This window comes from Homo sapiens, chromosome 10, assembly GCF_000001405.40.
Source record: "Homo sapiens chromosome 10, GRCh38.p14 Primary Assembly".
NCBI classification, from domain to species: Eukaryota; Metazoa; Chordata; class Mammalia; order Primates; family Hominidae; genus Homo; species Homo sapiens.
This window is the reverse complement of record NC_000010.11, coordinates 43,215,164-43,240,082: the sequence shown is the minus strand read 5'-3', so window position 1 is coordinate 43,240,082 and position 24,919 is coordinate 43,215,164. Positions and strand designations below refer to the sequence as shown.

At 55.7% G+C, this 24,919-nt stretch overlaps 1 protein-coding gene and 1 long non-coding RNA gene across 4 annotated transcripts in view, besides 4 other annotated features; one reads left to right on the top strand and one right to left on the bottom strand.

The window, feature by feature from the left end:
- Positions 1–24,919, top strand: part of RASGEF1A (RasGEF domain family member 1A) — a 72,531-nt gene that overhangs the window by 26,983 nt on the left and 20,629 nt on the right. Inside the window, exon 1 of one of the 2 annotated variants that reach the window (NM_001282862.2) lies at positions 10,344–10,446. The exons of the other annotated variant lie outside the window; for it this stretch is intronic. Within the exon in view, the coding sequence (NP_001269791.1) occupies positions 10,429–10,446 (18 nt within the window). The 5' untranslated portion in view covers positions 10,344–10,428. Of the gene's footprint in view, positions 1–10,343; positions 10,447–24,919 lie in introns of those variants that run through there. 2 annotated transcript variants of the gene reach the window in all.
- Positions 7,611–9,993, bottom strand: LOC107984225 (uncharacterized). Of its 2 annotated transcripts, none has more exons than XR_007062127.1 (3): positions 9,533–9,993; positions 8,790–8,909; positions 7,611–8,393 (listed from the first exon to the last, which is right to left on the bottom strand). It is a non-coding gene; the product is annotated as an uncharacterized LOC107984225 (long non-coding RNA). The 2 variants fall into 2 exon arrangements; XR_001747438.2 differs by lacking the exon at positions 9,533–9,993 and adding an exon at positions 9,096–9,219.
- Positions 8,847–9,401: an enhancer, noted in NCBI's record as "H3K4me1 hESC enhancer chr10:43726130-43726684 (GRCh37/hg19 assembly coordinates)". NCBI's record gives its function as "activates a minimal SCP1, AML or CMV promoter by ChIP-STARR-seq in naive H9 embryonic stem cells {active_cell/tissue: H9 hESC(naive)}" and the evidence as "EXISTENCE:reporter gene assay evidence [ECO:0000049][PMID:30033119]".
- Positions 11,233–12,043: an enhancer, noted in NCBI's record as "H3K4me1 hESC enhancer chr10:43723488-43724298 (GRCh37/hg19 assembly coordinates)". NCBI's record gives its function as "activates a minimal SCP1, AML or CMV promoter by ChIP-STARR-seq in naive H9 embryonic stem cells {active_cell/tissue: H9 hESC(naive)}" and the evidence as "EXISTENCE:reporter gene assay evidence [ECO:0000049][PMID:30033119]".
- Positions 22,261–23,016: an enhancer, noted in NCBI's record as "H3K4me1 hESC enhancer chr10:43712515-43713270 (GRCh37/hg19 assembly coordinates)". NCBI's record gives its function as "activates a minimal SCP1, AML or CMV promoter by ChIP-STARR-seq in naive H9 embryonic stem cells {active_cell/tissue: H9 hESC(naive)}" and the evidence as "EXISTENCE:reporter gene assay evidence [ECO:0000049][PMID:30033119]".
- Positions 23,017–23,772: an enhancer, noted in NCBI's record as "H3K4me1 hESC enhancer chr10:43711759-43712514 (GRCh37/hg19 assembly coordinates)". NCBI's record gives its function as "activates a minimal SCP1, AML or CMV promoter by ChIP-STARR-seq in naive H9 embryonic stem cells {active_cell/tissue: H9 hESC(naive)}" and the evidence as "EXISTENCE:reporter gene assay evidence [ECO:0000049][PMID:30033119]".

The following is a 24,919-nucleotide window of genomic DNA, read 5'->3' as shown; positions in this document are numbered from 1 at the left end:
GAGACTCAAAGTCAGCCAGAAGTGAGTGCTTAGGGTTTCCCAAGTACTTTTCTGAGCATGTGCACAGCCCTGAGCATGCACTTGACCTTCTAGATTCTCAGGAATGCACTGCAGTTTTTCAAAACCCCTATGATCATGTCATTACTGAAACTTTCCTTTTAAGCTTTCTGGTTAGTCTATTGCTTGCTTCACTGTTATCTACTGCTTCAGGCATTTGTGAAATTAAATACCAGTAATTGTTTTTGACAATGAACCTTGGGGAATATGATTTTTGTACTTGAGACCTCTGAGTCAGGTCAAATACAGACATCCTTGTAAGTGGGGTCTCCATGGGAACTACTGGACAGGTCAAATAATGACAGTTTTCTGAGAATGAAGCTTTGAAAGAGTTCCATTGCTGTTTTCCCTCCAGGGGCTGCTACGCCAGTGGTTTTCATGATGAATGTGGGGTCCTACTTTTCAAGGCACTTGGGATAGAGAGTCAGGGATGGGACTAGGGCAAGTTCAAGTGCTATAAAATTTGCAATTCTTACTGAGATTCAGTTATGTTTTTTGAATAAATCCTCCTAAGATTTCTGCAAGCGTTTAGTTAATTTTGGAAGTTCTAAAAATGTGGATTCTGACCTTTTTGTTTTTTGCTGGTTTTCTTGTTGCGTTTATGGAAGAGAGGGTTTTTGGAGGTCCTTACTCCACCATTTTCACTACCTGGCTATACTCTATTGAAAGCACTTCTGGGATGTCTCTTTAAACTTACAATGATCATAACCTTTGACCCAGCACATCAAGTATTAGGAGTTCATCTTTTATATGTGGTCACACATTTGAATAAAAACTTTTCATCAATAATGCCCATTGCAGGAGTGTTTTTCGTTGCCAAAGACTGTAAAGCACCTTGGTGTCTTTTGCTAGAGGACCTCTTACATGTGTGGCAGCCCACCTACCCAGTGGAATACCCTGCAGCTGCCACAGAACGTATGGAGTTGCCAGGAGCTGAGGGGCTCTCTCCAGGGAGCTGCAGGTGTCTGGGGCAAGTAAAGAAACTACAGGGCATCATTCCAGGCACCACTGATTAGAATGAATAATACCCCTTCTTCGAGAGCCTGTGATTCTGTGAATGACTAAGAAAGAAACTTCTGGAACATTTGTGTCTGCTCTAGGAACAGACACATGCACAGAAGCACGTGCAGACTTGTGTATTCGTGGGTTGCCTCATTTCCATTTGATATCAGGTCCCTTTCCACCAGCCTAGAGTGTCATCCTCTCTGGCTCATGGGGATGGCAGCTGTGGGCCCTTCCCATGGAAGAGGGGGCAGGACTCCCTGAGATGCATTGCTGCCCACATGCCCTACCAGCCTGACCCTGATATCTTTCAGGGTCCCTCAGTATCCCCACTTGCCCGAATGGCAGTCAGGGGCCCTGCCCATCACAGACAGCCTCTCCCCTGCCCTGCAACATGTTATAGGGACCTGCCAAAAGAGGACCTGGGGAAACCCACGGGACCCTCACAGCACCCTGGTGTCTTTGCAGAGTTGCAGGAGTGTATGTGGACATGGGGCTGGGGCAGTGAACAAGGAGGCTGGGGAACCCAGGCTTTCCCCCACTAAACTTAAATGAAATATAAGTAAACTGTCAAAAACGGTAGTAGTAGAGCTATCTAAAGTACTGCAGTTCGGTGAAGTACACTGAGCAGCTCAAGGGTAGGAAACCAGACAATCTGCGATGGCTAACCCTGCTGAAGGCAGGTCTGACTCTGCGATGGCTAACCCTCCTGAAGACAGGTCTCAATCTGCGATACAACACCCCCGAAGGCAGGTCTCAATCTGCGGCGGCTAACCCTCCTGTAGGCACACATAAACTAGCCACGGCTAACTCCCCTGAAGACCCCTTTAAGTCGACATGGCTAACCCTCCTGAGGGGCAGGTGTTACTCTGTGATGGCAAACCCTCCTGAAGGCAGGTCTCAATCTGCAGCACCCCCCCTCCCTCCGCCCCCCAAAGGCGGGTCTCAATCTATGATGGCTAATCCTCCTGAAGGCGGGTCTCAGGCACACCTGCGTCAGGCCTGGCCGCCTTGGCCTGTGTGGCCCACTCCCCTGATGGGCAGGTGGGCTGTGCTGAGCCCAGATCCCCGCCCACAGGTACAATGGCTGGGTCTCTGTTTGCCTGTGCCTGAGTGTCTGCAGGACAGGGCTCTATTCCCTGTGGGAGAGGAGACATCACATGGCGGTCCTGGGACATTCAGGCAGAGAAGCTCTGTGGTCTATGTGCTGGGGCCATGCTGGGATGGTCCCTGGGACTTCTATGGGGCTGGGTGTCGTGGGATCCCTGAGGAGTAGCAGCTGAGTTTGGGGAGAGCGGAGCCAGCTAGGCATCCTGGCATGAGTGCGTTCAGGCCTGGGCTTGGTTGGAACCCACGCCGTGCGTTAGCCTGGTGCCTCTGATGAGCACAGCAGGGACTGGAGGGAGGAGGCAGAATTGGCTGCAAAATAGCAGATGCAGCTGCTCTTTCTAGAAATGTAGGTAAGAAGAAAAGAGAGGTTGGGAGGCAGCTCAGGAGGAGCCGGGGTCAGGAGGACTGTGTCTGTGGTCTGGAGAGGGCAGAGGCTGAGGGGAAATGGAGGTGGGGGGGAGGGGAGGGGAGGAGGGGGAGAGTGGGAGTTAGGGGCACAACAGTGGGGTCAGGGATCAGCTCCGGGGCCTGGGCCCATGATGGCCAGGGGCTCCATTGGAGGGCAGGTGAAGCAGGAGAACAGACTAGGAGCCTCCGGGGTCGGGGAGGAGTGAAGGTACTGGCCAAGGATGGGTGGAAACCAAGGACCCAGGGAGACAGAAGCCTCTCTCCTTGACTGGTGCCTCCAATTTCCATAGAGCAGGCTGGCCCCAAGACCCCCTCACAAGGCCACACTGGCCCTGAGATCCTCTATAAGGCTAGGCTGGTTATGAGACCCCCAACAAGGCTAGGCTTGTCACAAGATTCCCTGCAAGGTTAGCCTGGTCCCAAGACCCTCTATAAGGCCAGGCTGGTCCTGAGATACCCTACAATGTTAGACTGGTCCTGAGACTCCCCACAAGGCCACGCTGGTCCTAAGACCCCCTACAAGGCCAGCCTGGTCTTAAGACCCTCACAAGGTTAGGCTGGCCCTGAGACCCTCCCACAAGGCCAGGCTGGCCCTGAGACCCCCCTATGGTCCTAAGCATCCCCCCCTTGTCCCCTACACACCAGGTGATCTCAGGTGTGAGCTCTCAGGCAGGGTCTCCTCTGAGTCTCTCTTCTCCAGGAGCCTGTGAAGGGCTCCGAGGGAGGGGCGAGCCCTGAGTGGGCCACTGCTGCTCCAGCCTTAACTTTGCACAGTCTTAGTGGGAGCAGGGATGCCTCATGTCCTGGTTTTAGAAGATGAGCACGTACTGTGTTATGCTGTGATGAAGCCATTCATAGTAATTGGAGAGAACTTGGGAAGCACTTGATAAGGCTAAATGGAGAGAAGAGGAGGAGGGAGGGCGCGAGAGACGGAGAGAAGGTGTATGCTGGCCAGTGGAGGAAGGCACCCTGATTAGACTTTTGGTATGTGGATGCTTGTCTGTTTTATAGGCGCAGGTGCAGACATGCACACATGCATAGGCCTGCATACTCGTAATGCATGCATGCAACTATGTACACACACCCATGCCTATGCACACATGCAGAAAGCACACATGTGCATACGCACACCTGCTCAGGCACACATGTACACTCAAGCACATGTATACATGCGCACACAAGGTCACACAAACACACATGGATGCGCGGTGCCCTAGACGATGCCTGCTGCCATGTCTTTGCTCCAGGGAGGTGCTTGGGGATACCTGCTGTCCATTTCTCTCCTTTTCCTGCCAGTGACCCTGGCTTTTCCCTGACGCTTAAGCTCACACTCTATATTACCTTTAACATTATTTTTGCAGATTTCACAGGTGCCAAGTGATGACTCAAGGCTTTAACTTGCAAGCTTTTTGTCACCATGAAGTAGTTTGCTTCTGGCTGGGTCTGCCCTATTTCCATGTGCTGTCCCTCTTCTCTCTTTCTCATTGGGGTGTCAGGGGTATTATCTGTGTCTCACTTTGTGCAGGTCTCTGCTCAGGTGATGGGGTGGGTATCCAGAGCCTTGTGATGGGAGGGGTCCCTGTTGGTCATCATCTGCTTCATCTCGGGGAAGTGACTTCCCGGGCCCTGTCTTGGCCCTCAACCCGTCCTGCCTGTGTGGCTGCAGCCTCCTCCCTTGTTGGGTCCCATTGTGCTGGGCATGATGCTGTGTCCCCATCCCATGCCTTGTGTCCCCCCGATCCCTGGATGCGTTCTCCACTGTCCCCTGTGCATGTGGCAGGCTGGCACTCAGTGTGGTGGGCTCTCTTCCCCTGGACCAGAGGCCCTGCATCCCAAGCCGAGTTTTAACTGGTGCCGCCTCCCTGAGCACTGAGTCCCACACACCAATGGGGGCAGGAAGGATCTCTGAGGATGGCGCCTTGGCACTGCCTTTTTAGCAAGCTCCTGGGCAGTGTGGTCAGGTTTGAGAGCCCCATCTGGAGGAAGCCTCCCAGCCTGGCATTCCTGCCTTCCCCACACTGCTGCATTGTTGAAACCCTGGATTCTCTGAGTGTGGCTGAGGAGGGGTGGCCAAGGCGCATGGACACAGGACCCCAGGAAGAGCCTCAGGAAAGACTCATGGACCCCAGGAGGCAGAATAGGATGTGGAAGGGCTAAATACACCATGGTATCTTGATGAGCTTCTCAAAGATGTGGAGGCTCTGACTCAGACGACTGGGGAGAGGTGTGCCTGACGCTGTGGCCGGTGGGCTCCTGCCCAGGTATGCTGGTGCCTGGAAGGATGTTGCCTTGCGCATCAGAAAGCTCAGCTGACTCCCATTCACCCCCTCCTTCACGCTTTATGCCTAAAGCCATGAGTGATTCAGTGCATGGAATATTATTCTCCAAAAGGGAGCACTAATGGTATGGCCTGAGGGAAATTCTGGAAGGCTTAGGGGTTCCCCACTGACCCAAGGGACAGGGTTGGCTGCCAGACAACCTTCCCTGGAGCCTGTGGGTGTGTTTAGGTGTGGTTTTGATTAGGGCCATCAGTGGCCTCTGCCCAGGGGTACTGACCAGCCTTGGAGGAGCCTGGAGGGGCCTCTCTGCAGACCGTGGCTGTGTGTGCAGGAGGCTTGAGTCTGGCAGACAGCGTGAGCCCTCGGACCCCTGAGGAGGCAGGGGCTGTCTGAGGAGCCTCTGGAGCTCACTGAGGGCTTGGTTCATTTTGCTTCGTGTTTTGCCAGCACCCTTGTGAATTGGCATCTCGGGCCCCACTTCATGCCCTGGAGAGGATAGAGAGGTATGCGCCATCACCTTCAGGGTTTGGACCCGAAACTCTTGGACTGTGTGGTGTGGCCCAGTAATGAGGTGGCATCAGCAGGGCAGGGTGGGGGGCCAGGGCCTTTCTGTCCCTTGACCCTCCTCCTGGAACCCAAGGCCTTGTGGGCTGAGCCTCATCAGGGCCTCTGTAGCACCGGCGTGGTCCTCATCAGCCCCCTGTGGGGCACTGGGCTCCTGCTTCTCTGTTCTGCAAGGTCTGTCACCTGCCTCAGGCCACCTTCCATCCTCCAAAACCAGTGGATGCCTCTCACTTGCCATTGCTTGACCCTGTAGGCTGTGCCTTTTAGAAGAGGGAGCAGGGTTTGCCCCAACTCTGCCTTTGTTCTTGGGGGGATGAGCGGAGGGAGGCTCAGGTCCCTTCCTCCACATCCCTTCTTCCCTCAGGCGTGGCCACAGCAGACCTAGATAGGCCCTGAGGTGCCGACAGCTTCTACCTGTCCTGGCCCAGATGTTCTCTCTTATTTTTCTCTCCTTCAGTTTTCTTCATGTGATTGAAGTGTAACACACACAGAAACATGCCTGAGCCAGAGCCACAGTGTACACTTGGTGATTTTTCATGGGGTGACTCCGCAGGGACACCCAGATCCAGCCCCTTCCAGCCCCTTCCCCAGGGCAGCACCCCAGACCTCTGGGGGTGAGGGTGCCCTCCCCGGCCCTGAGCTGGCTCCACGTGGGGCCAACCTTAGATGCTCTTTGTGCCTGGTGTCCTTGACTCCCTGCCCTTGCCTGTGGTTGTCTGGGTGGGTTATCCTCGGCCTGGAGCGTTCCATTGAGTGACACATGCCACAGCTCGGTGGAAACCCAGTCCCCTGTGGGGGATGCTTGGTTCATTTTCAGTTCGAAGCCCTTGTGAGTAGGGCTGCTGCAGACACTCCTGCGTGTGTCCTTTGGTGTGAGTCTCTAGTGTTTCTGCACAGCCTCCATCCAGGATGGAATTTCTGGGCCTGGTGTGGTCGGTGTTCATAGGCATGATCGGGCTGTTTTCCCGCCTGGCTGCACCAGCTGACCCTGCCGCGCCGCCAGCAGCTGAGAATTTGGGTTGTGCTATCTCGTCAGCACGTGGCATTTTCTGCCTTTTGATGGTAGCCTTGCTGCTGGGTGTGCAGGGTGCCACACCGCAGTTTAGTGCCTTTCCCAGATGAGTCATGGAGCTGGGTGCTCTCTTAGGCCTATCACCCCTTGGATAGCCTTCTTTCAGTGAAATATGTCTTCAAGTCTTTTGCCCATTTGTAAAAAATTGAGTCTTCTGACTTTTTTATTTACATGAGTTCTTTATATATTTTGGATATGAGTCCTGTGCTGGATATATACAACCATATCCTTATTCACACTTGTGTCTCTGTATCTGTCTACACACACACACACACGCACACACACACGTGCACACACATAGGTTCTGAGTGCCTCTGTGCATAGACATGTTACAGTCATTGGGATGTAGCAGTCAACAAAACAAAGATCCTGCCCTCATGGAGCTCACATTCTCAGGAGAGCAGACGAATGAACCAGAAGGTGGAAAGGCTCTGCTGGACCCAGTAACCTTAAGGAAAACCATTCCATGGCAGGACAATGCTGGGGCAGAGGATGGCATTGCAGCTGTGTTAGTGAGAAGGTGGCCTGTCGGGGTGGGGGGCCACAGACACTGCAGAGCACATTGCACGCAGGGGGAGGGTGGGCAGGGCCTGTCGAGGCTGAGCAGGGAGCATTGAGGTCCCTGATGGGGCTATTCGTTAGGACTCTGCCTTCATCGAGATTGAGGTGGGAGTCACGGAGCTTCTGACTCAGGTTCTAAGAGATCCCCCCCGGCTGCTGTGTGGAGACAGCAAGGGTGGACTCTGAGAGGGAGCCTTTGCGAGTGTAGTAGTCTGTTCTCACACTGCTATAAAGAAGGGCCTTGGCCGGGCACGGTGGCTCATGCCTGTAATCCCAGCACTTTGGGAAGCTGAAGTGGGCAGATCACTTGGGTCAGGAAGTTTGAGATCAGCCTGGCCAACACGGTGAAACCCTGTCTCTACTAAAAATACAAAAATTAGCTGGGCATGGTGGCGTGCACCTGTAATCCCAGCTACTTGAGAGGCTGAGGCAAGAGAATCGCTTAAACCCAGAAGGTGGAGGTTGCAGTGAGCTGAGATCATGTCACTGCACTCCAGCCTGGGTGATAGAGGGAGACTCCATCTCCAAAAAAAAAAAAAAAAAAGCCGGAGACTGGGTAATTTATAAAGAAAAGAGGTTTAATTAGATCATGGCTCTGCAAACTTTACAGGAATCATGGCAGCATTTGCTTCTGGGAAGGCCTCAGGGAGCTTTCACTCATAGTGGAAGGCAGAGTTGGAGCAGGTGTCTCACATGGCAGGAGCAAGAGAGAGAAGGGGGAGGTGCCCCACACTTTCAAACAGTCAGATCCCTCCAGAACTCACTCACTCACTAACAGGAGAATAGCACCGAGGGGATGGTGCTAACCCATTCATGAGAACTCCGCCCCCATGATCCAATCGCCTCCAACCTCCAACACTGGGGATTACAATTGAACATGAGATTTGGGTGGGGACACAAACCCAAATCATATCAGCGGGAGTCCAGCCTCCTGTCCTGTGACCCTCAACCCAGAATCTTGACAGCTTGCCTGCTCTAGGCTCTGCCATCCTCAGAGCAGGCTCTGTTGCTCTGGTCAGAGGCAGCCTTGTTCCAGGCCTTGTGCCCTGCCCCTAAAGGAGGTGTCTGGAGAAAGTGCCTCTTCCTGTGTGTCTGGTCTCCCTGAAGTCCCGGCAGATGGCCACTGGCCCCACCACACCTGGCTTCTTCTCTACTTTCTGAAGTGGCAGTGGGATTCTGCCTCAGGGCCCACCAGCCCTCCCTGCAGGACAGCCTCAGCCCCAGCTGCAGGGATGCAAGCAGGACGCCTGGCAGGGCTCAGCCCCAGCATAGCAGCCTCCTCGCATCCTCAGGCACCAGGAAGGATGTGGGTCAGGTCACACATGAATGCTGAGATCACACTGGTGGGTAAAGGAGACAGCACCATCTGTGTCAGCCAGAGATGGGGGCAAGGGCCCCATTCCTCCCGGGGAAGCGTCTGCCTTATCAAGGTCCTTGGGTGACACTGGTGCAATCTGGGATGAGCGTGATAGGAAGTGACCCTGTGACTGCATAAGAAGGCTTGTGGGGCTGCCCACCCATCCACCACCTCCTCTAGAGTGTCACATTCAGGGAGGCAGAGGGGATGCTTGCTCTGGGGTCAGGAGGCAGCAGGGCCAACTGCTCACATGGACTTCCTGAGACAACACTGGGGCCACCCCAGGGCCCAGATGTTCTGCAGGGCTACGGTACAGGGCTGAGGAAGGCAGGGGCAGGTGCCTCGAAGGCTTCCCCAGGGGCAAGACACCAGGTTTCACCTTCTTGGTGCTCTCCATGAAGCCACCTGAAGGGACAGGGTGGCCCTGCAGGCCCAGACCATCCTGATGCCACCTGTCTGCCTGCCAAGGTCACCATGAGCTTCGCATCTTCTGGCTGGCCTGAAACAAGATGCAGAAGCAAAAGTGGGGGAGGACATTGTGAAAGCTGGAGGGCCACTGTGCCATTTCTGCCTGGTTGCCTCGTACTCCCCGCACTGCCCACCCACAGGCGCTGCATACCACGCAGTAATGTATAGTGCATGCTCTGAGCAGTGGGAAGCGGTTCCAGGCCAGGCCAACACTCACTGGTAGAGAAGAGCTGGTGAGAGGGCAGCACTCCAGGAGAAGGACTCCTGTCTCCAGGCCCTTGAGCTGGCTTGAGGGAGGCCAGTGAATGAACCCAGCACAGCCCCTACTTTCCCAAGACAGAGACAACTGCCCATCGAGCCAGCCTAGTAGGTACTCTTGCTGCTAGTAAGTGAGCAGGCAAACAAGCTGGGAGGCAGAGGGCCTCTGGCAAGGCCTGGGCAAGAGCCGTGGGGGTGGAGGTGGGGTGAGGGTATGGGCATCCTGGGGCGGCCAGATGTTGTCAGGGTCACGATTGTCCATCAGCCCGTGGCTTGAGAGCTCTCCAGAGTTGTCAGAGCCTCTCTGTGAGGTTCAAGCTGAGCATACCCTGCTCCTCCCTAGCGGCCGCCCCGCCGGCCAACTCGGACTCCCCCAGAGCCCAAGGGGTCTCTCACCCAGCTCAGGTGCTGGGTGCTCCAATCCAGACCCCCAGAGAGGGCGCTCTTCGGCTCCGCGCATCTTTCCCGTCCGCATCATCTGAGGGAGTGGGGTCCACCACAGGAATGCGCAGAGGGGTAGCCCCATCACCTGGCAGATTCCTTCTGAGGCTGGGGCTCTGGGGGCGGGAGGAGCCTCACTGTGCCATGTGCCCAGCCCACCCCTCGCTGCGGCTCGGATCAGCCCTCCCACAAAAGCAGCTGCCGTGTCCCCCGAGTTCCAATGAAATGGAAGGACAGGGAGTTCTGTGCGACGCCTGTCTCAGGCCAGAGCTGTGTGGAGTGAGCGCCCTGTCAGGGAAGGCATTCAAGTCGAATGCTGGCAGAACACCTGCTGTAGTTCCGTAGTGGACGTCTACGATCAGGTGAGGCCGGGGCCGGGTAAGAGGCATCCCCTTCCCGCGCCGAGCCCCGACCCACGCTGCGCCCCCTCGCCGGCCCCGCGCGCCAGCACCGACCCCCGGCACGGCCGATCCCGGACGCCCCGTCCAGCCTCACACCCCGGCACCTACGGCGCCCCCACACCTAGCGCCAGGCGCGCGCCCGGCCCAGGCAGCTCCTCCTGACAGCGCTCCAGGCCGCCCCGGGTCCCTGCCCCACCTCCGCGCCATGCTCCTAGCCTCGGCCCCGCCCCGCGTTCCTGGCCGGCCTCGCGGCCCCTCTGCCCCGCCCGGACCCCGCGGTCCCCAGCCCAGCCCCTCGGTTCCCTGCTTCCGGGGTCCCACCCCTCCAGCGGAGGCGTCCAGCGGCAGGGGCCGGCGCAGGAGTGGGTGCTTGCTTGGCTCGCGGGCAGAGGAGCCGCCGCTCGCTGGACGCCGGACCGGGCAGGACGGCGCGGGGAGCCGGCGGCCAGAATGTTCCTGGAGCCCCAGGTAGGGCTGCGGCGGGCCCAGGCGCAAGGCCGCGGGGCAGGGTTCTTGCGCTGTCGGGCTCGGGAGGGGTGCGACGGTCCCCTGCATCCCGACCCGTGCGGGAGGGTGCCCGCCCTGAGGACCCGCGCGCCGCCCTCTGTGCGTCCCCGCTGGAGCACCTACTGCCCGGTGGGCGGCGCCCAGCCTGCCTCTGCTCCTGCCCTGCCCTTCGCGGCGCGGCCCGCGGACGCCGAGAGCACAGTGGCTCCTGCGAGCCTGGAAGGGGTGGGGACGGGCGTGTAGGAGCCCGGACGACTTGAGGGGCGCAGAACCACCTGTTGCTCTGAGGAGGATGTGCCGGGCGAGGGGTGGTCCGCGGTGTGTGGTCTGTGTGAGGTGCAGGCGGGGGAGGGCTGCGGAAGCGCGGGCGCGCTTATTCACGGCACATGGGAGGGAGCGCAGCCGTGCCTGTGCCTTGTGAGCCCCACGCGCGCCTGTGCGTTTAGGGAGAGTGGAGCCCACCGTGGGGCTTCGAGGAGTGTGCGCTCCAGGGCGAGGGCGCTGTAGGGTGCAGGCGGAGAACTGGTCCTGGAGAGGACCTGAGCATGGAGCACTGGCATTTCCCACGCTGTTTATGGAGACCCATCCCCAGAGGCGTAAGGCGGTGTGATTCGGGTGCGGCAGCCCCCTGGGTTCTGAGTGCCCACAGCGTGGAGCTGAGCCCCGGCCAGCCCTGGCCACGTGAAAGATGCAGGACTCATCTGTCCCTTCCTTCTTTCACTTACTCAGCATGCATTTATCGGGCCCCTGCTGTGTGCAGGCACTGCGGTTCAGCAGGGAACCAAACACCACAGCACGGAGAGTGTTGTCCTCACGGTGCCCACACAGCAGAGGAACAAGCACAATGTGTAGGTAAAATGGGTGGAGTGCTACCTGGTGCTGAGGGCTAGAGAAGAAGCAATGTAGGAGAGCTAGCAGGGCCTGTGAGGAGTTCATCGGTGAGGGTAGTTCAGGTCATTCTGCAGCGATAGAGCAGCCCCCAAGTCCCTCAGCTCACAACATGGTGCAGTTTCCACTCACTGGTGTCAGCCCTGGTCCAGGCCACCCTCATTCAGGGACCCAGGCTGACGGGGTCACATAGTAGGGGAGTGGGGAGGGCCCTGCACTGGCATTTAAATGCCCCAGCCCAGTACTCCAGTCACTGCTGTGAGACAGGTGGACCCCACGGCCCCACCCCGTTTCATTCGGACCTCCAATGACAGTCCTGCTCCCCCAGCAACCAGGGGTCTGACACACTTGGTGCCCAGCGTGCTGACCACCAGTGAAGGAGGGGGCTGTCTGTGCCTTAGGTATGGTGGCCAGAGGAGACGTGTGCACAGGACCTGCTGAAGGAGGGGAGGGAGGGAGCTATGCGGGGGGCATACCAGGAAAAGGCCAGGGCAGAGCTTTGAAGTGGAAGCTGCCTGCATGTTGGGGCCAGATTGGAGACTGGGGCATCAGGAGCAGAGCCCAAGAGGAGGTGGGACAGTGAGGCCAGCGAGGTGGCGTGGCTGGGGGAGCCAGTGGGGGTGACGGGGCTGCAGTGGGAGGTGGTGGAGCAGGATGTGCTCCCCGTGGGGCTGCCATGGCATTGCTGGCTGCTGCTGGGAGGGGTGAAGCTAGCAGAGTGCCACCCCAGTGGTCCGGGGACAGATGAGAATCCCAGCCTTGGGAGATGGCAGAGAAGGAGGAGGAGGGAAGGACTGATTCTGGGGGTATTCTGAAGGCAACACCTGGAGGCCGTGCTGGTGGGTAGGCTGTTTTCATTGAGATGGGGAAGGTCAGGCTGGCGCAGGAAGGAGGGTGTTGCCCTTAGAGGTGGGCAAGATGGCAGGCACAGCAGGTGGGAGCAGGGACAGTTCAACACTTCCCACCCCAGAGGTGTTGCCTGGCAGTGGTGTGGGCAGTCTAGAGTCCAGGGAGAGGTCTAGGCTGCATGTGCTCATGCAGAGCCTGGCTTGCTCCACCCTGCAGGCTCCTTGCTGCCCTGCCTCCTGGCCACCCTACCCACACCTGCACCTGCTGGCTCAGGACAGTACAGCCCTGGGCCCCAGCCTTCCCAGGCCCAAAGCCCATCTTGCTGGGCCTGCTAGCTTGAGCCACCTTCTTTCAGCTTCCCCAGGAGAGGTGGGATGAGGACTCTAGCCCTCAGCGGGGCACAGGCCAGGGGAAGGAGAGCAGAGCCATGGCCTCTCATGTTAGCCCACCACCTCTGTGCATTGGGGGTCCAGGCCTGGCCAGGATGCAGGGGGCACTGGGGACAGCACAACCCAGGGTCACATACTCACAGACACATGGGCTGCAGCAGTGCCATCTGTCGGGGGGGCAGGCAGTCAGGAAGGGCTGCCTGGGGGAGAGAGTCTCACACTGGCATTGGTGGGATGCATGAGGATTGACTTAGTGCAGGGGAAGCTGCCTGCATCTCCCACACCTTTGGGCTCTTGGACCTCGCCCTCCAGGGAACTGCTGGTGAGTGACCAGAGGAAGGAGACCAAACTGTCATGTCAACCTCCCTTTTCCCCCTTAACCCACTGGAAAACCCCTGGTTATCCTTGGAAGCTGATCTCAGAATCACCTCCTTCATGAAGCCCTCCCTGACTACTCCCTACAGAGTTAGTTCCCCACCTCCGTGCCTCCACGACACCCGGCACAGACCCCCAATCCTGAAGAGATCATGCCATGCCATGGAGTTGTGTCTGTCTTCCCACAGACACTAAGGTCCATGGGCTGTTCCGTTCTGAGTGTGTGGCATAGGCCACAAAGGCCTCAAGGGATGCTGACTTGACTGAACAAGTTCTGGAAGGAAGGAGGAAGGAAGAAAGGAAGGAACAAAGATGAGGGCGGGAAGTGGCCTGTACAGGCTCTCTACTTCTTGTTTTACATCTGGGGAAATTGAGGTCCAGAGGGGCTGTGTCTTGCCTGAGGTCAGCCAGGAGGTCAGGGGTCAGAGCTGGTTCCTGGGTCATGAGGGCTCCACTGTGTGGGTTCTGGGCTGCCTGGGTCCCTGTGGGTTCCAGGACAATGGGAGTTCAGAGGCAGATGGGACACGAGGCGTGGGGGCTCCTGAGGGAACCCGGGGACAGTCAGGTGGGAGCCCATGGATGGCGTGGATCTCGGAGGAGGATGGCAGCCAAGATCCCCTCAGCTTCTCTGTTTCTTTTTTTCTTTTCTTTTCTTTTTTTGAGACAGAGTTTTGCTCCTGTTGCCCAGACTGGAGTGCAATGGCATGATCTCACTGCAACCTCCACCTCTGGGGTTCAAGCAATTCTCCTGCCTCAGCCTCCTGAGTAGCTGGGATTACAGGCATGTGCCACCATGCCTGGCTAATTTTGTATTTTTAGTAGAGACGGGGTTTCTCTATGTTGGTCAGGCTGGTTTCGAACTCCTGACCTCAGATGATCTGCCCGCTTTGGCTTCCCAAAGTGCTGGGATTACAGGCATTAGCCACTGAACCTGGCCCTCTGTTTCTTCTTCTGGCCCCTGCTGCTGGCTGGGCCCTGGCCCTGCGGCCCCTGGCACCACTGGCCAAGTGGAGTTTTGTTGGCAAAGCTGGTGTCTTGTGGTCTCAGCCTCGGGGAATAACCCAGCCCCCACCCCTGTCACCGCCCACACCCGCCTTCCGGGCTGGGACCCAGCCCCTGGCATTTCCCAAATGTCACTGTGACTGCCGCCAGCCACCCCTGCCCAGCCTTGGGCCGGTAAGTATGCGTCAGAGCGCCGCCCTCCTCTCTCTCCCCCTCCCCGTGGGTGAGGAGGCTCAGCCTTCAACTCTGGCCCCAACCTGAGTATGACTTCTCTGGGGACCTCCCTGGGGCCACATACAACAGATGTCCTTAAAACAGGGACTGGCATGTTCCTAGAGTGCCCAGCCTGAGGGGGCAGTGGTGTGGTGTTTTGGGTGGGTGACCAGGAAAAGTGGCTTCAGGGTAGCTGAGCTGGTTGGCAGAGCAGGCCCACTGTGGACATCGTGTTCCTGGGGGATGGTAGTGGAGCTTAGAGAGCTGAGAGATCCGTGGACACACACACACACACACACACACACCCATACACAGACACCCACACACAGAGACACACATAGGTGCACACAGACACAGAGACACACAGACACACAGAGACATGCAGAGACACAGACACAGAGACACGCAGGCACACAGACACAGAGACACACAAACACAGACACATACAGAGACACAGACACAGAGACACATGCAGGCACACACACAGACACAGACACATGCAGAGACACAGACGTAGAGAGACACACAGACACATGCAGAGACACAGACACAGAGACACAGACACACAGACACACACAAAGACACAGACACACAGAAACACACAGACACAGAGACCCCCCCCCCACAGACCCCCACACACAGACATGCACACACACACAGACACATGCAGGCACATGCACACACACAGACACAGAGACACACACAGACACAGAGACACAAAGACACACACACAGACACATACAGAGACACAGACACACATAGACACATGCAGGCACACACACGCAGAAACAGAGACACACTAACACAGAGAAACACAGACACACAGACATATGCAGAGACACACAGACACATACAGAGACACACAGACACACCTCCCCTACTGCCACTGGTGTGAGCATCTCTGTAACAGCTCCACACAGACTTATGGGCAGACACATATGCCCAGGGGAGGTAGATAAGTAAGCTATTGATTTTTTAAAAGTTTATGTTAGGTAATTGATTATTGATACCTTACTAGTTTGAACAGATTTTTAGTTTGGCTTCCTGGAAAATCCAAGAAATTAATTATATTACTTACACATAAGGAACAGCCAACTTCTTTATTTCTAATGTATCTTTAGTTTTCTTATCTTATTATGTTTTCTAAAAGGTGCAAAGTAACATTAAATAATAGCAGTTGTCTTTGGCTTGATCTTCATTTTAATGAGGAGGCTTTTCATGTTTTACTAAGTCTGAAACTGGCCCATATTTCCAATAGGTATTCGTCATCAAGGACAGTGTGCTGGAATCCTACATTAATTGCCAAGAGTGCACACCAGGAATGGATATTCAGTTTCATCAAAGGCTTTCCTATATCTAGCAAAATCATCAAATGCCTTTCCTCCTTGGACCTATTAATGTGTTGACTTATTAACTCTTCTGAGCTAAATCATCCTCTTGTTCCTGGAATAAAGCCCACTGGGTCAGGCTCTATTGTGCTTAAAAATGCTGCTGAGTTCATTTTACTGATGTGTTGCTATGTTGCTGAGGGTATTTTTCACTATTTTCAGAGGTAAGAATTTATGCATACTTTTCTACTAGGAGACATATTTGTCACATTTATAAATCATGCTATTTTAGCTTTATAAAATGAATAGGAAGGCTTTTCAATATGAATTGTGTAGTTGAAATAGTTTATATATCATATAAAATTATCTTATCCTCAAAGGCTTGAAATAATTCATTTTAGAAACTATTTCAGCCAGGGCTTTCTTTTATTTTTTCCAGAGGCTTAGTTGGCTCTCAACTTAATTTGTACTATGGTTATTGGTCTTTTTGGGTTCTAAACAGTTTTACTCTATTTTTGGTTACTTATATTTTCTAGATAATATAAGTAACCATTAAAAGTTCTTGCAGATCATTTACCACAGATTTAGGTAGTTGTTTGTTTTAAACTTTCTTCTACATATCTGGAGTTAGATTCCCTTTTTTCATGCCCAATGTATTTTTCATGTCCTTCCTTTCTTCCTTCTTCTCTCCCTCCCTTTCTTTTTTAAAATAAATTTTTATAATTTTTTTAAAGAAATAGAGACAGGTTCTCACTAGAGCCCCCCAAAGTGCTGGGATTACAGGCATGATCCAGGGTGCCTGGCCCTCCCTCCCTTTCTTCTTTCCTTTTGTTGATTAGAATTGCAAGAGGGTTATCCTTGAAATCTGTGTTTTCAAAGAATCAGCTCTTGAAGTTTATAAGGAGTTCTACTCTATTCTTTGATTAAGTCATCTAATTTGCTTTTTAGTAGTTTCTTCTTCCAGTTTGTTTCACTGTTTTGTTGAGAAGCTCTTTTTTAAGCTTTTTGAATCAAGTGCTTAGTGTTTACTTCAATACATTATTGAAGTCTATGAACTTTTCTGTGAGTACAGCTTTGGCCATATCAAATTCGATACAGAGTTTTCCTATAAAGGTTATTTTTCTGACATCTGTAATTGGAATTTGAATCTTTAACACAGGTGTGATTTAGGGATTTTTTTTATGAAGTGGGTATTTTGTTTATCAGTTATATATTAATATCCAACTATAGTACATTGTGCTTATGTCATTCTCTCACCTGCACACTTCTATTTGGGGACTTTACTGGGTTTCATTGGTGGTATAACATACGACCATGTGGCAGAGACTCTGGACAGTAGAATGTGCCTTTCTGTTTCTAGACACAGTTTTTCACATATCTTGGTCCCCTGTCCAGAGAGCATGCACTGCAATATTTTCATCCCTTGGGCATCTACCACTTGCTGGGCAATTTCTGGTTGTGAATCTAGCATGAAGAGGTGCTCACTGTGTTTCCTGGGCATAGCTTTGTGTTCTTGGGAGTTTACCTCTAATAGGGTTATAAAAAAAAAACCAATAAAGTGTTTTTCTTACTCTCCACTCTCAGCCATTTAGCACAACATTCTAATACCAGATTCTCTAACATTAAGACAGCAGCTGGGTGCCCTGTAATTCAATTTGGACAATATTGGAGGCGAAGTCAGATCTCACAGGTTGAGAGCTTGGTCCCACAAGGCTGTCCCCCTCCCTCGACTTCAGATGCCATTTGCAAGTCTCAGGTTGTGGCCTGTGCTTCTGACCCACCCAGCAAATCACCACTCCTGGGACTCCTTTCTCAGATTCAATTAATTTGCTAGAGCAGCTCACATAATTCAGGGAAGCACTTGCTTCCATTTACCCACTTACTATGCAGGTTTTTACAGTGGTCACAGATGAACAGTAAGAGGAAGGGATGCTCAGGGCAAGGCATGTGAGAAGGGGCGTGGAGCTTCCCTGTCCTCCCAGGCACTGCACTCCAGGGCCCTCCACCTGCTTGCCTACGCAGAAGCTCTGAAGCCGCTCCTTTTGGGATTTTGTGGAGGCTTCATTATGTGGGTGTGACTGACTGAATCATTGGCCATTGGTGATGGACCCAACCTTCAGCCTCTCTCTTGTCCCTAGAGCTGGGGGTGGGAGTGAAAGTCCCCACCCTTTCATCACATGGTTGGTTCCCCTGACAACCAGCCCCCAGCCAGGCTGTCCAGAAGTCCATCAGCACACAGAAGACACTTACCACTTTGGAGATTCTGAGAGTGTTAGGAGGGTGTGCTGGGAAAAAAGACAGCGTCATGCACCACATAGTGGTCCCCTGAGATTCATAATATGATATTGTCACTGTGCTTTTTCTATGTTTAGCTGTAGAAATCCTTACCGTTGTGTTACAGTTGCCTCCAGTATATTCAGTGCAGTCACACACTGTGCAGGTTGGGATCCCGGGAGCAATAGGCTGTACCACGGAGCCTGGGTGTGTAGTGGGCTGTGCCATCCTGGTCTGTGTAAGTCACTCTGGGGTTTGCACAACGACGAAATCGCCTAAGATGCATTTCTCAGGAGGTATCCCCGTCGCGAATGGACGCATGACTGTATGTGCCCGGGCCACACGGACAGGAAGGGCCAACTTGCAGGCAGGAGGCCTGGGCGGCTTCCAGCTGTGCCCTGTCCTCAGCCCCACACCTGTATCTCATCTGGGAAGTGGAGAGCAGGGCCTCAGAGGCCCCCAGATGGTGTCACAGGGCCCAGCAGGTGGGAGGCCCTCTGCCTACGCCACTCATTGGTGGTGAGGCTTGTGGGCAGTTTTGCAGGGGCTAGAATGCAGCACGGGCCCCTTGGACCCTGGCCTGATTTCCCCCACCCCACCTCGCTGCCCTGCGCTTGCAGCCTAACCTGCAAATGCAGCAGGGGCAGCTCCTCCTGGGTCAGGCCCTGTCCATCCCACAGGCCTGGCTGGCTCCCCCTGCTGTCACCTCACACCATTCTCCTTCTCCGGAGCCCTGTGCTGGTTGCCCTGGGTAGCACATCAGACAGGGTTCCAATCCCAGCTCCACCAGTTTCCCAGACTGGCGCTGGTGACTGAGGCCCTTTGGGCCTCTGTTCCTTCATCTGGAGAAGGGGGGAGCAGCAGGAGGGCCACCCTGGGGAGGCATGGAGACGGCTGTGTCTGGCTTAGGTTCGAATCAGCCTGGTGGCACTAACTGATGTGGGGAGGTTTCAGGATGACTCAGCAGCCAATTAAATGCTTACAAATTCATGGTTTATTGGGACGTTTTCACACCCCAACAATCATGCAAATATATTCCACACACCCAGGCAGTCATAAGAGAGGCGGGAGCGAACCACAGTGTCGGGGGATGGGGAGACCAGCTGCTGATTGCCCAGGGTCCAAGTTCCTTCAGAGCAGAGGGACCGCAGACCCCCGGGTGGAGGGATGGGATCACTCCTCTTCTCCCAGCAGGGCGTCTGGTGGCCTCCAATGGAAAAGAGGCTTCGGAGTTCTCGAGGGCAGTGCTTCTGCAGGTGTCTTGGTCATGAGCAGCTTCTTTGTATTTATGGCCCTCCGCAGGAGTGTCCCTGGCCATCATCTTCAGGTGCCTTTTGACATCACTTTCTTGTTGGGTCTCAGGGATGCCTGGCCACAGCAGATATCATCTGATCATTGCAGTCCACCACACCTATGCTAATCACTCTGAGGGCTCAGCAACTTCACTCTAAGCTGAGTTACTTGTCATAAGTACTCCCCCCCCTTTTTTTTTTTTAAGACAGAGTCTTGTTCTGTCACACAGGCTGGAGTGCAGTGGCGTGATCTCAGCTCACTGCAACGTCCACCTCCCAGGTTCAAGCAATTCTCATGCCTCAGCCTCTGGAGTAGCTGAGATTACAGGTGTGCACCACCGTGCCTGGCTAATTTTTTGTACTTTTAATAGAGATGGGGTTTCACCATGTTGGTCGGGCTGGTCTTGAACTCCTGACCTCAAGTGATCTGCCTGCCTTGGCCTCCCATCGTGTTGAGATTACAGGAGTGAGCCACCACACCCGGTGAGATAGGGTCTTGCTCTGTTGCCCAGGCTCTGTCACCCAGGGATGCAGTGGTATGATCTTGGCACACTGCATCCTTTACCTCCTGGGCTCAAGCAATCCCCCTACCTCAGCCTCCTGAGTAGCTGGGATTACAGGTGTATGCCACTGCCCCTGGCTAATTTTTCTGTAGAGACAGGGATCTCCCTATGTTGCCCAGGCTGGTCTTGAACTCCTGGGCTCAAGCGATCCTCCACCTCGGCTTCCTAAAGTGCCAGGATTACAGGTGTGAGCCATTGTGCCTGGCCGTTTATTTTGAGACCCTAAGGACCACAACACATTATTACACATTCCTGTGCACTGGTACTCTTGGGGCTGGTCAGTGTCTAACCACCGGTTACCAGCCCCCAGGGCCAGGGGACAGACGCACAGCATGTGACAGAAGAGCTGCCTGTGTCCACGGCATGGGGGTGGCAGTCAGGACGTGTGTCTGGGTGCTGTTTCCCAGAGGCTGCCAGACTGAGCATGCCCATGGCTCTGTGACCCAGCAGGGGGCTGGGTGCCCCCTTCCCCTACCCCCATGACTGGCCCAGAGAGAGCTCCCTGCTCCCACAGCCATCTGCCAGGAGGACAATTCAAGTGAGGGAAATGGATTTTTATTTGTTTTGGAACACAAAGGAAAAATCTTTGCTCAGCGTAATTAGTTATCATTTAAAAGTAAAAGAACCATATGTCTTTTATTCCATATCCCAGCACCCTAGGTGGCTGTAGAGGGCGGAGGTGCAGCTCACCCGGGACAGGTCTGTGTGTGGCCTACGCGGCTGGCCATCCCTTCCTGCCTCTGGAGGCCCTCAGCCCTGACCCTGCCCGCTCACTGTCCCTCTCTCTTGGTCATGGGCTGCTGCTTCGGGGCTGACTCCAGGGCTGGCTGGATGTGGGCAGTGTGCCCGGGTGGGCCTGGGCAGGACAGATTGCTGGTGCCTTCCTACTGGAGCCAGCAGGCGCCCTGGCCACTGCCCAGAACTGATGAGCAGCAGGACACCCTGCTCTGTCCTGTCATCATCAGTGGACAACCCATCTAGGACAGGGACCCCAGAGGGGTGATTTCACTTGGGGTGGAATCTGCACACTGCTTCCCAGCCCCCTCCTCCGTGGCACCCTAGGGGTCTCCCTGGAAAGGACAGAACTGGCTACCAAGGTTGCGTGAGTTTGCACATGACCCCATCCAAGCCTGTGCCCAGCTCTGTCCCTGGGAGGCACAGGGCTGCCCACCCATCTACAGGAGGCTCTCGTTACCCCTGCAGAATCTGATGGCGTTGGCCGAAGAGGGAGCGAGGCCAAGGGGAGGGGGGAGCAGGGCTCCCCAGGCGGCTGGAGTGGGAGGCCAGGCTGCCAGCGCCTGCCGGGAAAGGGCAGGGATTCTCTGAAGTCCCACCTGCTGCATCCTTGGGCCTCTTGAGTCTCAAGAATGGAATGGTTCTTGGTGGACAATGATGTTCTATGCCCTGAGCAGGCCCAGAAGAAGCTGACTGGACAGAAAGGGAAAAGGGAGAGGCAGAAACCCAGACTGGGCAGAATCTGAGGAGCGTGAAGAGGAGACGACCAGATTCCTTCAGTCAATTCAAATTGTATTGGGTAATAGAAGGGAATTCAGAAGGAAAAAATGAATCATGTGTCTGTAACAAAGCTTTAATTATCCGCGTCGCGCCTGTGGCCAGGCCTCTGGAGCGGGCGCCCTGTGAGGCGCTGTCGTGCTGGTTCCCATGGCAGCCGCCTCCTTGTTGGAGTCCGGCCTGAGGCCCTTGGCCAGGCCCTGAGACTGCCCTGGCCAGCCCGGAAGGTTCACAAAGGTAAATCCGGCCCTTCTTCGCAGTACTTGAAGTTTGGCTTATGTGAAACAGCGTGGCCCCTGCCCTCTGATGCCTGCCTGGCCTGGAGGATGGAGAGGCAGGGGCTGCAGGGAGTTCCCTGCCCTGCTGCAGGAATGGGGCCAGCATGTGCTCCCAAGGACTGTGCTGCTGCAGAGGGAACAAGGGTTGAGAGAGAGGAGGGTGAGGACTGGAGAGCCTGACCTGCAGGGGAGTGTCACCCCCAACGCCCCCCATCCCTAGACCAGAGCCAGCTCTGAGTCCCCCATGCCTGGGACAGGACAGTGCAACCAGGTCAACGGGTCCACCTGCCTAGAAGCAGGAGGCAGCTTCTCCTCACTTGTTGCTGTCTGCAGCAGGTGCACTGGCTGTCCCTTGCATGGGAGGTGAGAAGGACCCAGAAGTGGGATGAGGGAGGGGGCAGCACCAGCTCCCAAGAGCTGTGTGTCTAGGGAGGCAGCTGGGAAACCTATAGGACCGCTAGTGCTCTGCAGTGCCGATGCCATCAGAACCCACCAGGCATTGAGCCTGTCCTGAGCTTTGTGGCTTCACTTAGTGCTCACGGTCGCCTGGGAAGCAGGTGCTGGAGGTGGCATCTCACAGAGGAGGGTGCCGGCTCCCAGCTGGGGTGGGGCCCACTCCCTTCCCATTGGACGCCCAGCCCATGCCTAGATCCAGCCTGGGCCTGCAGCTGCCCCCTGCCCATCTGCTGTGCATGGCCTCAGCAGATGGGACAAGGGCTCCCTGGAGTTAAGGGAGACACGTTTCAGCTCAGTCAGGACAGTCTGAGAGCTGGGATTTGGGGATGGGGAGGACATCTGAGTGTTGGCTGGGTGGTTGGGGGAGAACCCTTCCTGCCCTGGGTCAGGGAGTAGGAGGTGGATGCAGCCCGGTTGTGGGAAGGGGCTCTGATGTGGCGCACCTGCTGTTGAGGGCAGGCCTGGGGCCAACCTGGGCAGAGTCAGAGTCCTGGCTCTAGTCCCTCTAGCAGGCACTAGAATCTCAGAAATGGTGGAGACTAAGCCCCAGACTCTCCCAGGCAGGTGTCACTTGCCTGCACATTGTGGATAGATGACGTCCAGAGGGGTTGGGCAATGGCCGGTCACCCGGCCTTCTTCCACAGAGCTGGGAGGACCTAGGTGTGGTAGAGGGGCTGGGCAGTGGCTGGTCACCCAGCCTTCTTCCACAGAGCTGGGAGGGCCTAGGTGCAGTGGGGATGGAGGCGCTGAGGCGGGTCGTCCAGCGCCTGGGACTGCAGCACCAGCTTGGAGAGAGCACTGTAGCCCTGGCGTGGGAAGAGGGAGCATGAGCGAGGGACACATGTCACCAGGACAGGGGTGTTAGAGAAATGGGAGCCAAAGGGGGATGGAAGGACTGGGGGCTGCCTGGGGCAGGCACTCCTCCTCTCAGCTCCATACAGGTCCCCCAGCCCCATGCTGGGGTGGTGCCCTCAGGGTCGGGTCCCAGCACGCTCCACCAGCTGAGGGTGCAGTGGCCCCATTGTCTTCTGCAGGCCATCGGCTCCCCTCGCTTGTGCTCCCCTGCCAGTGAGTGACATCCAGTAGGTGGGGGTGGCCCCTACCTCATTTCTCCCCCTCCACGATGCCTCTCAGTGCAGGTGGGATCCCGGAGGGCTCTTTTTACTGGTCTGAGAATGCAGCTCTGGACTGGCAGGGTCAGAAGATGGGGAAGGGTGTGTAAGATGGGAAGGGTGAGCGGCAAAGGAGGCGCAGCTGCCTCCACTATCTGACCGGTCCTGATGGAGCTCAGGAGGGAGATGGGGTGAAGTCTGTCCTTGCTGCATGCTGGGTGGAAGGGAGGAGGCCCCTAACCTCCTTCCCCCTCCTCTGCCACCCCATGCAGGTTCTTATCCCATCAGGAGCAGTGCCCCTCCTTCTTTCCTCCCTGAGGGTGGCTGAGTCTTCAAGCCAAGTGGGCACACTCAGCCCTCTACCCTCCCCAAGGCGGGCAGTTTCTTCCCTGTGACGTGGCCCACTGCCACATCCCAACGGCCTTCTCTGGGTGGGGCAGCCCCTGGGCGGGCTACCTAGCACTGTCTACTATCCAGGAGGGGGGCAAAATCCTCACTAAGGCAAAGGGCCCACTGAAGGTTTAGCAAAAGATGTGCATTTGCATGGGGAATCTTGTAATCATGGTGCCTGCCTCCCATACACTCAAACAAGCACTTCACTTACAAATTGCGCCTGACTCCCTGCTGAGCCCTCCCCGCAGGGTAAGGTGAGGACCCCCACAAGATGGTCCCCCAAGGAAACCAGGAATCACCTGCTGCATCCTGGGGGAGCCTCCTGGGGAGGGGAGCCTCATTCCCGATGTCCTGGTGGGAGGAGCCCAGACCCTCACAGAGTGGGGCAGGCGGCCCACCCACTGTAGGCATAGACCCTGAGTACCGATGGCAATGGCGGTGGTGGTGGGATGTGCCCGGGGTGCTGGTGGCTCCAGCGCCCCCGCTCCTGGCAGGGTGGGGACCAGGCCAGGTTGGGGGGCAGCCTGGCACTGCTGGGGACCCTGATCCTGGCACATCACAGGTCCAGGTTTAGCAAGGCCGACACACACATCATCAGTCAGTGCATGTTTTGGAGTAAGTGAGGCAGCCAGGAGGTGCCCCAGGGAGGGTTTGCCAGAGATCTAATGGGCCAAAAGCTCCCAGGCTTTGGCGCCAGCGCTTCTGTCCACTCACTCTGCTCGTCCTTTCCCAGAAGCTCCTTCCAGTCGGCTGAGGCCTCACCTCCACAGGGAGGCCAACCTCACCGCCCAGGCAGAGGTTACCGCTTTCCCACTCACATTCCTGACCTTCCATCTCCTCTGTCGGAGCACTGATTCTCTCCTAACCCAGAATATCATGTCGCCATCTGTGGCCGTTGTGCGTGGCACCACACAGGCTCTGTGGGGTGCTCTCTGGGGCCAGAGAACCCTGTTTTTTTCCCCTGGTGTATCTCCAGTATCTAGGCAGGGATCATTACCACTTGTGAATGAATGAATGGGCAAAGAATAGGGCTCCGGGAACACCCACCTCCTTCCCCACCCCAGTGCCGGTAATTTCAGAGAACTGGCCGGTTATCCCTTGAAGGGCGAAGAGCCCATTCTGTCGGGTCCGTGGCATGCATCCAGCCCAGCACAGGTAGGTGCGCAGGTCTCTCCCCTCCTGAGGCCCACCAGGATCATGGCACAGGGCTGCCCCCAGCTCCCTCCAGGAGCACGCTCTCCCTGCCAGCCAAGAGAGGGGAGACAGGCGAGATGTGTAATTTTCAGTTGCTAATTGTGATGCCCTGCAGCTTGCTGAGCTAAAAATAGTCTCCGTTTTTGTTGAGTAGGTTAAAAAATAGAAGCCCACGTGCTGCCTCAGAAAGAAGCCCCCTGCCAAGGCTGGCAGAGGCAGGGGGCTGGCTCGAACCCCTCCTCCACCTCCTGGCAGATCCCTGGGACTCATGCATGATGGGCCCTGAGGGCTGTTTTTGTCCCAGTTTTCCAGGAAG